At 34.0% G+C, this 15,867-nt stretch overlaps 1 long non-coding RNA gene across 7 annotated transcripts in view; it reads left to right on the top strand.

Moving 5' to 3' along the window:
* The window catches only part of LOC101927609 (uncharacterized), a 164,409-nt gene that overhangs the window by 6,751 nt on the left and 141,791 nt on the right, over positions 1-15,867 (top strand). For 2 of the 7 annotated variants that reach the window (XR_007060234.1, XR_007060235.1), the window contains exons 3-5: positions 1,199-1,340; positions 6,054-6,327; positions 11,257-11,329. This is a non-coding gene — a long non-coding RNA (uncharacterized LOC101927609). Of the gene's footprint in view, positions 1-1,198; positions 1,341-6,053; positions 6,328-11,256; positions 11,330-12,265; positions 12,737-15,867 lie in introns of those variants that run through there. The other 5 variants (XR_007060236.1, XR_007060230.1, XR_007060233.1 and 2 more) reach the window with 5 other exon arrangements.

Genomic DNA, 15,867 nt, shown 5'->3' with positions numbered 1-15,867 from the left:
CTCCCCTATAAAAGAAAGTTGACATACACCTATATGAGTAAAAACACCAATCTGTAACCTGTTAGAGTGCTTTGATTGTATATGTAAAGTAAATGAATGATATAAAATGCAAACTTTGGTTTTTTTTAGTTACTCTTGAACAGTTCAGACAAATGTTAATTTCAGTAAGAACTGCATTAACAAGATGAGAAAAATGGAGGTCAGTAGAGGGTAATTCAATCCCCCAGACCATTTTGTTTTAATTAGTATTTGCCTATTTTAGGATATAAAAAAGGTTGACATTCTGATAGAATTTTCTCAAATATTTATAAACATGCCCTACATGAAATATTAATAAAAGAAGTAGCCTCACATACAGCAGTTTATTCTTAAAAAGTTTGTTCATACTGAAGGTATTAGCCAGTTATGAAGTAGGTCGTGGTTTTTAGGCACACAAACACTCAATCCTTCTAAAAGAAATGTCATTATCAGTCAACCTAAAGATGATATTTTTTTCAATAATAATAAATAGTACTTAATAGCTGTAACTTAATAGCCCTTTTCTTACCTTTTAGTATCTGCTCAACAAGATGAGGAAAATCCATCAGTACACAAAGTGAAATATACTTCTCAAAACTGAGCACTTTATGTCATTACATCTTTAGGGTCAAGTCTCTAAGTGGCAATTTAAGTTTTATTTGGAAACTATACTCCTCAGTAGATGACTAGAATAATAATGGTTAATTTGGTAATAAACAATAGCATTGATTTAAGCCAGTAATTTCTGAGTTCTATATTACTATATGTTATGCTCAGAAAAAATAGATGGTAAATATCTGTCACCATGAAATTAATACTTAATTTTTCATGTTTTCTACACATCCTTTTAATTAATAGTCAAAAAATAAGAAAACAAAACAGTAAAGGAGTGTCAAACATTATAATTTTCCAATTAGCTCTTACTAGAGTCATGTACACCTCATTATTTTACCTAAAGAATAATGAAAAGCACTGTCTTTGACATTGAAATATATGTCCAACATAAGTCTGTTTAAAAAGCAAGTACACACACACAAACATACATATATTAAATAATATATATAATTACATATATATAAAATCATTATAAAGGTAACTTCAACTTCTGTAGTTTACAACTTATGGTCTTTGGTCATTTCTTTTTGTTTGTTTGTTTTTCTGTTTTGTTTTGTTTTTTGAGATGGAGTCTCAGTCTGTCACTAAGGCTGGAGTGCAGTGGCGCGATCTCGGCTCACTGCAACCTCCACCTCCCGGGTTCACGCGATTCTCCAGCCTCAGCCTTCCACGTAGCTGGGACTACAGGTGCATGCCACCACACCCAGGTAATTTTTGTAATTTTAGTAGAATTGGAGTTTCACCATATTGGTCAGGCTGGTCTCGAACTCCTGACCTCAGGTGATCCACCTGCCTTGGCCCCGCAAAGCACAGGGATTACAGGCATGAGCCACCATGCCCGGCCTGGTCATTTCTTATAAGATACTAAAAATGTGGGATAACTGAGATAGGGATATATTTTTTAAGTTCTACTCTGTAGCCCACTTACCAAATAATACTGCTGACTTTAATGTAAAAGATCCTTCAACAAAAAAAATACTATCACAATTTTTAATTATTTTTCTTTCTAATCTGAATGAATTTAGAAGTTAAATTGAACTTATTATTTTAGTTTCCTATGTAAAAAGCAAAGGAAAAAGCCTTATTGTGTGATCTCTCTAATATACCCCTCAACATTTATATGTGTGTATATTATATATAGAGGGGTGTGTGTATGTGTGTGTGTGTGTGTGTGTGTGTGTGTACACAGAGAGAGTACATAATGACTTTCAGGAGTGAAAACAGTCTTTTACAAAAGACGGATTCCAATGACAAATAGAAATGTTCAGAAAAATCTCAGGATCAATTGTTTTCTCTAGTAAGCACCCCAAACTTCTCTTGAGGTTAATCACAGCCTTCACTGCTTTGTGTGCTGAATACAATAGTTCCTTTTGATTTAAAAATTTGCCAACTCTTATAAAGTTAACATTCTGTATCTAATGAATATGTGGAGATAAATAATCTGTGATACTGATGTAATCTAACCTACACAAGACTCACATAACGTCTTTATTTGATCCTTAACAACCACATACATTGTTTCTTTATTATATTCTTTTCTATATGCTCTTAGCACAAAACTACTAGATCCACTTGATCTAACAACTTTTGAACAATAATTATCTCCTTGTTTAAAGAGTGCAATCAAATCTCTTCTAACTACAATCATGATATGTACCTTTTATTTATATGAATTTAATCACCTCTTTAATTTTAACATAGTATTGTTGCTTAAGTCTAATCAGAAGTGTTAGGTAGTAATTTCTATTTTTCTCTTAAGGTATATGTTAGGAATCTTTGTACTTAGGTCATTGTATGTACATTTTAAAATATGTTCCCCAAATTACTTTAAAGTGCATTTGAAATGAAAGTGATGATTTAATTGAATATGAATATTACTGAGGCATTATATTTTTTCATTTTGTCCAAATATTTGCATAGTTCATATTTTTTATTTTAATATTAAAGTACAAATCTAGGAATATTTGCTTCAGAGAGCTTTCATTCTACTTTTATGTGTAATTAGAATTCAAGGGGATTTAACATCTGAAATCTTTCCTTTTTTAATGTTTTTCTGTATGTGGTCAGCAGAAAACAAAATAAAGATAAGGTGCAAATATTGCCATATTGGTAGGTTTTACCCCAAAGAAGAAAAGACCACTAATGCAGTCTCTAATAACGTCCTTTCCCCCATTTTAATAAGAAGGTTTGTGTTGTTCTGACATTAAATGGATTAAGCAGCAAGCCTGCTGAGAAAAATACTCAAAGGTATTAAACCCTAGCAGTGTTGGTTTAACTGTAATTACTGTAAAATAAGATTAAGTCTGAGTTTGGAAGAAGAACTAGGTTTGACATAAGACTAAAAGGTAACAATGTTCACAGATGCCTGAATTAATGCTTCAGTGAAAAATATAATTAGCACAAGATTTGAAAATATGTCTCCTTTGGCAAATGTCTTCAGAGAGTAATCAGTGCTGTAGACTGATGTAGTGGAAAGAGCACTGGGCAAGTGGCCAAAATCTTTGAATTCAAGTTTGTTGCTCTAGCACTCACAAGTTCTGTGACCTTGGATAAGAAATTTCTAAAACCTTTGAATCTCAGTATGGTGGATATGGCCAACTGGCAACCATTTGCACTTTTCCATTCTGTGTATTTCTATACTACAGCAGCTGGAAAGCTAAAAACTAAATTTTCCCAGATTCCTGTGCCATTAAACTTCCAAATGTAAATAAGTTTCATCCAATTAGGTGCACTTGTTGAGATTTGGAAGCAAAAGTCAAGTGGAGGTCATCTTCCTGCTGCTTCCATTGTTTTCTGCTAATAAGTGAGATTGTGGAAATATGAGTTTTCTGTGATGGGTTCCAGCATCCAAGTTCTAGGGTTTGAGAGGCTGTAGGGGTGTGAGCAGTAGTGGCTCCCTGATCTCTTAATTGTGGCTACAATGGTGTGTTTTTGAAGTCAATAAATTTTATAGTGACTTCTGAAGTCCCCACTTTTCTGATTGAAGCAAAGGTCATCTTTCTCTAATAAGTCAGTTCTACAGTGTTATGGAAACATTTCTGAATTCCCAGCCTAGAGCCTCTCTCTCTAGCCTTCCCAAAGATTTAGTAAGCATTTTATTCCCTGTTTTAAATCCCTATTTACTTGAAATACCTGAAACTTATCTGTTTCCTGTACTAAAACCTAACTGACACACATGTGCAAGTTTCATTGATACCTTACAAAGTCTTTGAGAGGATTAAACCATATTAAGCATATTTAACATTGCTTCCTCTTTTGAAAGATAAGTATTCATGATATGAAAAGCAACTATCAAAATTGTCTCGTGGCATTCTCTTGTCATTAATTTTGCTCAGCTAATAAAGTCTAAACACAGTTTGTGAAGTATTGGTTCTTCTGGGCAAATAATGCAGAAGAAACAATTGCATATTCAATTGGTACCTAAATTTTATAAATCTCCAGTTCTAAGAATGTCTGTGAGTTTGTATGATACCTTTCCTATAAATGAATAGCTTTCACTTCAATTTACATTTTACTAGTATTTTTACTTTTTTTGCAGTGGTCATAATTAGAAGCACTATGGCTAATTCTGTAAGTGGAAGTGGACTGACATAACACCATGTCTGGCAAGATTTTGAGCAGATTTGGAAAAATATTGCTCTGTGCTTTGATCTTATACTTTCTAAAGGAATAAAATAATTCTCCTCCCCCTTTTCAATGAATTTCTTTTTAGAAATATGTGTTATATTTATGGCGTCAAGAGACTTTTTCACCTTTAAACTAGCCCACATATTCAGCCACTATTAAGGCACCGATGTGCTTCATATCAGTTATTTCCTGACTTGATTTGTTGCCCTCCTGTTTCAGCCTGGCTTCTGGATCTTGTCTCCATTTCTGTCTGTGGCTTCTTCTTTGGCTTTTTGATTTGTAGTCAGTCTTTTATTCTGCTTCTCCTAAAAGGGCTCATCCCACTGACATTTTTTCCCTTGAGACTTTCTTAGGAGGTGTGTGTGTGTGTGTGTGTGTGTGTGTGTGTGTATCTCCTAAGAAAGTTTCCTAAAATATACATGTGTGTATATACTTTAGTTTTCATCCCTCAGGACTTAAATTCAGTTGAAACTTGACTATGAAAACACTCTTCAGTTTTCCTCAATAGGTGAACTCAGAAAACAGGAGAATTACACTAAGTGCTCATTACTTTCCTAGGTAATTTTATATAGTAATTTTATATATTGGACAGAATAAACTACATCAAAATTTCCAGTGCTCTGTGCATGAAAGCTTATTCATTTACTTCCACGTGTATAAAATTACATCATATGATGGAATAAAGTTTTCATCTGTCATTTATTTTTATTTATTTTTAAGACAAGATCTTGCTCTGTCACCTGGGCTGAGTGCAGTGGCACAACTACAGCTCACTGTGGTCTCAACCTCATGAGCTCTGTAGCTGAGAAAACTTGGGAGTGACCAAATAATATAAAATAATATGAAAGTAATTTTAAAGATGTTTAACCTCAACAGTACAATATTGAAGCATATAAATTCAAGTTAAGTATATAAATTTAGCTCAATTCAATGCACATTGATTAAGCACTTAAGATTTCACCAGCCTATTCTTCAATTACATGAGAAATGTGGCTTATTGATTAAACGTCTTAAACAATACAAGATAAAATTTAAGTTATTGTGAAGAACATATGGCACAAGCAAGTACTGCATGAGATGGATCTTGTAGAATGGGTACAATTTAAGTAAGTGGCAAGTAGGTTTTCTAATTAAACATGATAAAGTGAGAAGTATGAATCTGACATATTGAGGAAATGAAGAAAATTAGTGTGATTGAAGTGGAAGGTATGCGTTAGGGAATGGGGAAAATGCCGTTAGATAAGAAAGCAAAGTTAGATTAGTTGATGGGGTATCTTAGGATTGATACTTAAAATTGATTTGATGAACAAGGAGAAATTATGGGTTCTTGAGAAGGAAACTTATGTGTATTTAGGAAAGAGTTTTCAGAACAGTTTGTGGTAGTATTTAAGATGGGATGGGGAAATTGGAAGTAAATCTAAAAATCAGGAACTATTTCATTAAGGTTAGAATTAGTCAATAAATGATAGCTGGAGCATGTGCAACATAGTGAGACCCTATCTCTATGAAAAATAAACAAATAGCTGGGTGTGGTGGCACGTTCCTATAGTCCCAGCTACTTAGGAGACTGAGGTGGAAGGATCACTATATTTTGTGTTTTCTGCTGACCATATACAGAAAAACATTTAAAAAGGATTTGGGATGTCAAATCCTCTTCAATTTTAATTACATATAAAACAAAAGTAGAATGAAAGCTCTATGAAGAAAACATTCTTAGATATGTACATTAATATTAAAAATATGAACTATGCAAATAAAATATATTTTTTCTTTTTTTTCCTTTCTTTTCCCAGTGTTGTGAACCACTTGTCATGGGATAACCAAAATTAAACCTGGAATCGCAGAAGAAACAAATTTTTTGAAGAAATTGGATGTACTTTTTTAAAATTTTTCATTCAACTAAAACTTTGTTAACTGTTTCTTGGTTGTGGTCTTCTCTAAATTGTAATCTTTGGCATTCACTTCCAAAGTATCCACCACTAAACTTCATAACATTTATTGTGTCTCTTCATCATTAAACTTTGATGAATTTACAGAGTGTCTTTTGAAATTATGTTCTTGAGAAAGGTAAGTTCCCTAAAAATCCCACCACCTCAGGAACAGAATTTTCTAAAACTGTTGTATCTACCTAAGTTACCTATTTTTGTCTTTTGTCTGGAGTCCACTTGTCCTCAAAACAAAATTAATGTTGTATTCCCTTTTGGTCAAGGACACATTAAACATTTCGTGCAGCATGCACATTTTTCAGGGATGTAGAATCATAAACAATTATTTTTATACACTTCTTATGACATAGGGTGACTTTTACAATGTGCTGTGCTATTTAAAGTTAAATGTTCACCACTACATATTGTACCTGTGAAAAGATTATAGGTTAGCTTTGATAATTTAAAATATTTTTGCTACAGCCAGTAGCTCTATTAACGATGATATGAAACTCTGACGTTGTTGTGATTACATTGTATTTTTTCATATCTGTTATGTGATATAGCAACCAACATATTAGTTATAATAATAATTAGGTAATGAGTTCACACAGTTATTGGATGGAGTGCTGTGTCCATCCCTAGGTGTTTGTTATTGTAGTGATACTTATAAGAAGTACAGCTTGGTGTACCTACATTAGCGCAAATTTCACTAGTCAGGAAAATGTGGATAAAGTGGTCCCTTTGATTCATTAGCCCTATACGAAGTATTTTGAAAAAAATATTTTAACAGATTTGTATCCTCTTTCCATATCTCATATAAACTGTAATTATTTTTAATTCCCCCAAATGAATGAAAGCCATCTTTACCATTCGATTCTTTAAAAAAAAAATAAGAATTAGTATTTATCGATTACAGGTCCTGTGCACTTTACATACTTTCTTTAATTTAGTCTTACAACAATGCTATGTAAAAAGTACTTTTTGAAAAAATGAAATAAAATTTATGTACCATAACATTTATCACTTTAGTGTTCAGTTCAGTGGTTTTTAGTATATTCACAAGATTACGAAGCTATCGGTACTAATTCCAGAACATTTTCATCATCCCAAAAAGCAGCTCCATACTCACTAGCAGTCACTACCCATTCCTCCTTCTGCCAGCTATTAGAAAACGCTGATCTATTTTCTGCTTCTGTGGATTGGCATATTGTGGAAATTTCATATAAATAGGCTCATAAAAGGCTGGATGGGGTGGCTCATGCCTGTAATCCCAGCACTTTGGGAGGCCACGGTGAGCAGATCACTTGAGGTCAGAAATTCAAGACCAGGCTGGCCAGTATGGTGAAACCCTGTCTCTACTGAAAACACAAAAATTGGCCAGGCATGGTGGCGGGCGCCTGTAATCCCAGCTACTCAGGAAGCTGAAGCAGGAGAATCGCTTGAACCTGGGAGGCAGAGGTTGCAGTGAGCCAAGATCGCACCACTGCACTCCAGCCTGAGTGACAGAGGGAGACTCCATCTCAGAAAAAAGGCCGGGGTGGGGGTGGCTTATACAATATATGGTCTTTTTTTATTAGCTTCATTCACTTACCATAATGTTTTCAAGGTTCGTCTATGTTGTAGCATGTATTAATACTTCATTTTTTATGCCTGAATATTATTTCATTGTGTAGATATACCGCATTTGTCTATTCCCTTCATCAGTTGATGGGCAATTGGGTTGTTTCTATTTTTGGCTATTTTGAGTAATGCTGCTATGTATATTTATATACAAGTTTTGGTGAGAACATGTATTTTCATTTCTCTTAAGTATATATCTAGGAATAAAATTACTGTGTTATATGATAACTATATGTTTAACTTTTTGAGGAACTGCCAAACTGTTTTCCAAGTGGCTATACCTTTTTACATTCCCATCAGCAACATATGAAAGTCCAAATTTTTCTACATCTTTCCCAGCATTTGTTATTGTTGTCCTTTTTATTGTAGTAGGGATAAAGTGATATTTCATTGTGGTTTTGATTTCCATAATATGAGCATGTTTTCCTGTGTTTATTGGCCATTTTTTATTGTCTTTGGAGGTATGTTTATTCAAACTCTTGGCTCATTTTTAAATTCGGTTATTTTATTATTGAGTTGTAGGAGTTACTTATACGTTCTGGATACTAGACTCTTAGATATGTGATTTGCAAATATTTTCTCCCATTCTGTGGGTTTTCTTTATACTCGACAGTGTAATTCTTTATATCTCGACAGTGTTCTTTGATGCACAAAAGTTTTTAATTTTGATAAAGTCCAATTTATGTAATTTCTATAATTGCTTATGCTTATCACTGCTTGTACTTTTATCATTGTCCAATTTGTCTAATTTTTTAAAATCATTGCTTATTTCATCAATTTTATGTCGTATTTAAGAAACCATTGTCAAAACTGAAATCATAAAAATTTGTCTCTATATTGTCTTTTAAGAGTTTTGTAGTTCTGGTTATTACATTTAGATATTTGATCCACTTTGTGTTAATTTTTGTAAATTTTGTGAGTTAAGGGTACAACTTCATTCTTTTGCATCTGGATATCCAGTTGTCCCAGCACTTCTGCTGAAAAGACTATTGTTTCTCCCATTGTATTACGTTGGCACCCCTCTCCAACATTAATCATTGCCATCTTCTTCTTGAACAGACTGTCATGGGTTTTCTCATACCTCTTCCAAGTCTTTTCTTATTTTTTTTTCTTTTTTTAATTGTGACTTTTCTGAAATCTCATTTCTTACACAAAAAATTCTTTTACCAAGCAAGCAAGTTAGAAAATATCACCTTATTCATAGCCCCATATAATAGTTTCCCCTCCATATATGTGTCAGCTGGTCAAACAGTTGAAGAGTTAAAGTCAAACTTCTAGAAAACAATGTCAAAAGTATACATAAAAATGTAAAAGCTATCCATATTTTGTGGAGCATTTATGTAATATTACTTAAATGATATTTATGTATACAGAAAATGGCCATATCAAAGATAACATTATATTGAGGTTTTCTGTCTCTATAAAGATGCTCAACATCAAAGGCAGATAAAGATTGAATACTATTCATTATACAAACACTTACTGAATAACCTGCCATATGTTCTAGGTAATGCACTACCATCACTGGCGCAAGAGAAACCTAACATAGCTCCTCTCCCCAAGGGATTTATCTAGGAATGGAGAAAGATCAGTAAACAAATGATTACATCCAAGCCCTATGGTAAGGGCATAAGTGTTATAAGAGAACAGGGAGGCAAATTCACTAATTTTGCCTCAGTGAATTACTTAGAAGGTGACACTCATTTGAATAGGTTATGAAAATAAAATAATTCTCCTAAGAAGACAAGAGGGACAAGTGAATTTCCAGCCTACTGGATGACATATACAAGGCAGAGAAGCATGAGAGGAGAACATGATGTATTGAAGAAAGGATCAATAGTCTGGTGTAACTGGGTGCTAGACTGTAGATGGAGAATATGCTGGCAATTGAGGACTGAGATGTAGGTTGAGGCCAAATTATAAACTGAGCTAAAGAGTATGGACTTGGTTATTGAGGCCACTGGTAATTGCAGAGGATTTTTAAGTAGTAGGTGATCCTGTGCTTGCCATAGTGTAAATGCTATCGCAATGACCTCCTTCCAACCATGAACTATTAAAAGAAGTACATAGTGATAAAAACTTGGACCCTAGAGACAGACAAAATCAATTCAAATTTGGTCTTCCCAACTAAGTTATTACATAATTTTAAGTAGGTTATGTAATTTCTCTGAAACCTCAATTTCCTTATCTGTAAACCTCACAGATTTGTTGTGAGAATTAAATGGGATGCAATTTTTAAGGTAAAATATGTAGCACAATTCCTAGAACACATTATGTGCTCAGTAAAGGATAGTTGTATAAAAATGTCTTTGAAGGCAGGCCGCCTTGTCTTTCCAGTGCCAAATCCAATGAATTGGCCTTCAGTCATTATTTTGGAATGACATAATGAGGTTAAGGGGTCAGTCCAGTAGCATTTAGAAATACAGATCTGGAGCTTAAGAGCGAGTCTGAGTGTAGTAGCTGTTGTCCATAATCAGGATATCATCTAAATATAAATGGGAAATGAAGCTCTCACAGTTGTAGAAGATTGAGCACATAGCAAATAATAAAAGGAAAATATTGTTCAAGAGGGAATATTGAACAGAAAGCAACTTTTAATGGATCAGTCTTTCATGGGTTTTTTGTGGCACATACCTTTGTAAAAAATATTAAAACTATACTATTCCCAAGAAAAATATACATATATTTTGCATGTTTTATATGTAGTGTTAAGGGTTTATGGACACCATAAACTCATCCTAAGAATCTCTGATTTAAGAAATGAGAAAATAATGAATTTAAAAAATGAGCCTTGGAAGGAGAAGGGAAAAAAAGTCTATACTGCAAAATATATAAACTTAGGTTGTTTCTGTGGTGAATATTTAAGAACCTAGGATCATTGCTGGTGATGTGGAATAGGAAATCAAGGACAATAATTGTTCATAACTTAGATGGAGATTCTTATTTATCCATATAGTTGAGTTCAAACTAAATATCTGGCAACCTTACATCAGGCAAGGAAAATCCTCTTGCAGTGTTGACAATTTTATGGTCAAATATTTCATGGATTTCCTCCAAGTATACCAGTCAAATACTGAGAGCAGACATTAGACAAAGCATATTGTTATTCATATTGTCTTTCAAATGCATGTTTCTCATCACCATTGAAATGACAATTCCAAAGAATACTCAAGAAATGATTTTTTTCTAATTCTCAGAAGTTTGTAAGAAAATCCTATTTAGACATAGCGTTATATATAGTGGTAGAAAAATCTTCCTGAAATGTATATATTTCTTTCTTTCTGATTTAAAAATGTTTTCTATATTTTATAGCCTCAATGTTTTTGCTTCTTTTTAAAAGACATAGAAAGAAAGGATATAGAGCTTTAGAGTTATATTTCTATCTAGTTTCTATTGATGAAGTAAGGTTTTTCTTATTGACTTATTGGATTCTCCTCATCTCTTTGAGCCAGGGGATTGGACGGTGTCATGGAAATGTCAAAGAAAAAGTGACACCTGAGAGAAAATTTGAAAGATGAAAGGTAAATATATGAAAAACATGAATGGGGAAGATAATTCAGGTAAAGGGAATAGCATGTTCAAAGGCATGATGGCATAATTCCACATGGTGTGTCCTTTGAATGACAAGTATTGCTATGGTATAAAAACTGGAAGAGAGGATAAATGGGTGCCAAGTATGCTGCCTTTCACGAACAAATTCCTGTGAGTGTGTAGGTAGCTGCTTGAAAGCCACGGTTGAATGATGAGATTTCTGAAGCTATATCCTTATTCCATGTGAAAGCTTGGCTGTGATTAATTTGTGATATCTGTCTTAAGCTTGTGGTTGAGAAGGAGCAGAAATTATTTTTTAACATCTTTATTATAGAAGATTCATTAGCAGATGAAAATGAAAAAATAGGCTGGAAGCAAACTGTAGCAAAACATTTTAGTGTCTGTGAGGTCCACGGATTTTCATTGAGTAGTTTTCAATGAGTGTTTTGTTATACAAACCATATTTGGTAAAATAACTCATAAAAATTTGGAAATGAATGGGAAAAGGTCAAACCAGTAGAGAGGTTATTATAATACAAAAAATGAAGGTCTGAACTAAAGGAGTACAGATAAAGAAGGAGAGAATAGGATTGATTTGACAAGTATTTTTTGGGAAAAAAAATAGTCTTTGATGCTCAACTGATGTGGAAGGTAAAGTTTTCTAGGATACCTCCCATGTTTCCTTGTCAATGATTGGGCAGATAATGATGCCATTAAGAGAGAGGGAATTCAGGAGTATATGTGTGTATATGGGGGAGTGAATTTGGTTTTGGACATACTGAGTACAAATTGTCTGCTGAACCTGAAAATAAAGATATCCAATAGGTAATTAGAAAATGATTCTAAAGGCTAAGGAGAGAAAGAGAAGCCAGAGATATACTTGGAGTGATCAACATATCACTGGTAATTAATTGTCATTTGCACAGCAGATGCACTAAAGAGGCCAATCAGTCATCCAGACAAGAATTTACCTCATGAGAGTCAACTGTGCGCATCTCTTCCCAACATTGTGATTGGTTATGTCATGTTGATAGCTTGAAATTGGACATAGTATGTACATTTACACCCCAGAAATCTCAGGTACTACAAACTAAACCTTCCCTTCTCTCATTCCCCAGTGCTGTTAATACGGAAACTGGTCTAATATGGAAAACAGGTGAACATGGAGCTGCTTTGTTTGACTCAGGGATGAGAGATACCCAGGTCCTAATTACTTGTCTTTAACTTTCCTTAGGGAGTACTAATTTGGGAGTCATTGTTCTAAACAATTAAAGTGAAGTAACTGTCCTGTTTTTCTCTTTTACCCTTGTGAACGAGGAAGCTCAGGGTTAAAGTCTATGTCTTTACTTATACATTTCTGTGTTGTAGGATCTTTTAATAAAGATTTTCTCCTTTTACTTTTGTATGTCATTAGCCCATCTGTACTTACCGTGCAAACTGCCTCAAATCTATTAAGTTTATTGCATGTACATTAATCACTCAGCCTCTCAATTTGATGAAAATAGACTCTCCGTTACCATTTCCCCAACAATTTAAGGCTGTCCCAGTCCTCTGCTGCAGCTTCCCATTAAGTACATGCTCAGCAAGAACTAGGGAATGATGTAAGGCAAACAGACCTCTCTACATCTTTAATAGTCACAGGTGGATTCTGGCATCAGAAATGAAAATATAATGGATATAATAAATGAAATAGATGATAATAATTAATAATATATCAAATAAATGAGAATATAACATATAATTAAAATACAAAATTATTTGTGGATTCTGAATTTGTGGAATAAAATGAATATCTATGGAATTGTGTGCCTTTTAAAAAAATATATTATGAGAAAAACATTTGCACACGCCAGTTTACACCCAAAACCAACAGATGATACATATAATCCGAAGCTAATGAAACTGATGACAGATACATCTATTTAAGACTACGGATTGTGACTCCCAGACAGCTGGAGAATGCTTTACTGGAACAGTTGCTAAATACAGTAGCTGTATTTAGCATATTATATTTCCCATATTGACATTACAACAATTGGCAAAACTGCATACATTGTGAAGCATGAGCTAAGAAAACTAACCACGGTAATTTCCCAAAGCTAGATTTGTAAAGGGCATGTAAGTGATGTTTGATAAAATAAATACCAACCTGCAAAGTCAATTGTGTGACAACAAACTTTGGAACTTTCTAATTCTCTTTAAATTGATCTATAAATTTGCAATAGGCACTGATCTGTAAAGTGAAAAAAATGAATATAAAAAGTTTATCTCTTCAGCCTTAAGAAATATTCAACTCTACAATTTGTTGCTAAAAACCAAACATTTGCTAGACACCATATTAAGGTTCAAGGTTTATAAAGGAAGCAATACATCAGATAATATATATACCTTCCATGAGAAGAATAAGAAAAAAGCAAGAATGCCAGAATTTAATTTAGCATTATTCTCCATTCTATACCTATTGGGATGCTCTTAGGACATATCTAAAGACCAGTGGTCTCTCTGTTACCTTGAACTCTCCTCTCTAAATGCTCTGCTTATTCAAGCCTTTGTTAAAGCATAGGTGGTAAATTCTGCCTATTTTAGGAAGGAGTAGACTGGTCTAGGTGTGCTTGAGGCGGCATTTATTATTCCCTGGCTTTCTGCTTCTGGGATATGGCAAACACTAAAATATTGTTAACCAATCAAAATTCAAGGACTAAAATTCATGACCCTCAAGTATTCCAAATTAGATTTATCATGATTCTTGATTCATCATACATTTCATCATTGGTTCACGAGACTCACTGGAAGTTCTTCCTCAGGTGAAACCCTACAGTCCCCAGCAACTTAGGGAGTCTGGTCACCCTAAGTCATATCCTTCATTTTTAAAAATTTAACCTTAGAGGCTGGGTGTGGGGGCTCACGCCTGTAATCCCAGCACTTTGGGAGGTCAAAGTGGGGGTGATCACCTGAGGTCGGGAGTTCGAGACCAGCCTGACCAACATGGAGAAACCCTATCTCTACTAAAAATACAACATTAGCCAGGTGTGGTGGCATATGCCTGTAATTTCAGCTGCTTGGGAGGCTGACTCAGAAGACTCACTTGAACCCAGCAAGCGGAGGTTGCGGTGAGCCCAGATCGCGGCATTGCACTCCAGCTTGGGCAACAAGAGCGAAACTCTGTCACACACACACACACACACAAAACAAAATAACAACAACAAAAAGAAACAAAACAAAAAAACAGAAAAAGAAAAAGAAAAAAAATTAAGCTTAGCGTCAATAGCTACCATTTCATTCATAGTATTACTGGGTTCTCAATACATGTCACATTCTCTTCTTTGTCTCTTTTTTTTCCTTATTTTGGAGAACAGGATCTTGCTATATTGTCCAGGCAAGTCTCAAACTCCTGGGCTCCAGCTATCTTCCTACCCCTCCCTCCATAAGAGCTAAGATTACAGGCATGAGCCACCACACCTGGCACATGTCACATTCTCTTCTAACACTTCAGGTAGATACTATTGTTAACCCCACTTTACTAAATAAAGAAACTGAGCACTGAGATTCTAAGTAACTGGCCACAGTTTTCACAGTTAGGGTAGATTCCAGAATCCACATTTTAAAGCACTTTGAGCTGGGGCCTGGAAACAAATTAAATAAAACATCAGTGTATTCATTAATGTGTCTGCTTGTTTTCACTGGCAAAACAAACATGTATGTTGCAGCTGGCATTGTTGGATTGAAATAGAATAGTATATTTCTAATGTTAACAGAGTTTTCGTGTAGCTATCATTTTAAATGATGTGACCATGTTTAAACTGTCCTTATTTGAATAATGTAGCCCATTGCAAAATTGTAATAAATAGTATGTTTTTTTCAGCTACCTTATAGAGCAAAGAAGTAGCTTATTGGAAACACATATTCTAGCCTTTAAGATTAATCCGTATTATTTTAGGATTGGGGCTTTAGAAGAAAGTATAATATTTTCATGACATTAGGACTAGTTCTAATTTTATAGCTTGAATCTCATTTGCCTTTGCCCTGTTAAAGATCATTATCTTTTTTTCTTTAAATGTACTTACACCTATGTTGAGACCATTTGTGATCCTGTACTTCTTCCTGTGATGGTTTATTTAATGCCCATCCGTTTCAGTAGACTGTAAGCTCCTCAGGGAAAGGATCCTATTTGTTGTGCTCAGCATTTTATTATCAGTGCCTGACACAGAGTCTGGTATATAGTGGGCACCCAATAAATATTTGTTGAATAAAATAATGCCTGAGGAACTGAATTAATAGACAAACATAAAGAAGTTTTAAAAGCCTTGAGTCAGAAGTGAAAAAATATAGCTGCCGAGAATTAAAAAAAACGACTTTAAAGTTTTAGAAGTATAAATTAATGCAATAAAATGATTTGGAATGTAAAATTAATGTTATTTTATTATTGCAGTTAACATTTATTGGGTACTTACTATGTGCCAAATACTGCGCTAAATGTGTTTTTAAAAATTTAATCCTAATAAAAATAATCTATGAAGCAGGTGCTATT

Source organism: Homo sapiens, chromosome 7 (assembly GCF_000001405.40).
Source record: "Homo sapiens chromosome 7, GRCh38.p14 Primary Assembly".
In the NCBI taxonomy this organism is placed as follows: domain Eukaryota; kingdom Metazoa; phylum Chordata; class Mammalia; order Primates; family Hominidae; genus Homo; species Homo sapiens.
Note: the sequence above shows the minus strand (reverse complement) of the source record. Positions and strands in the feature narration are given on the sequence as shown.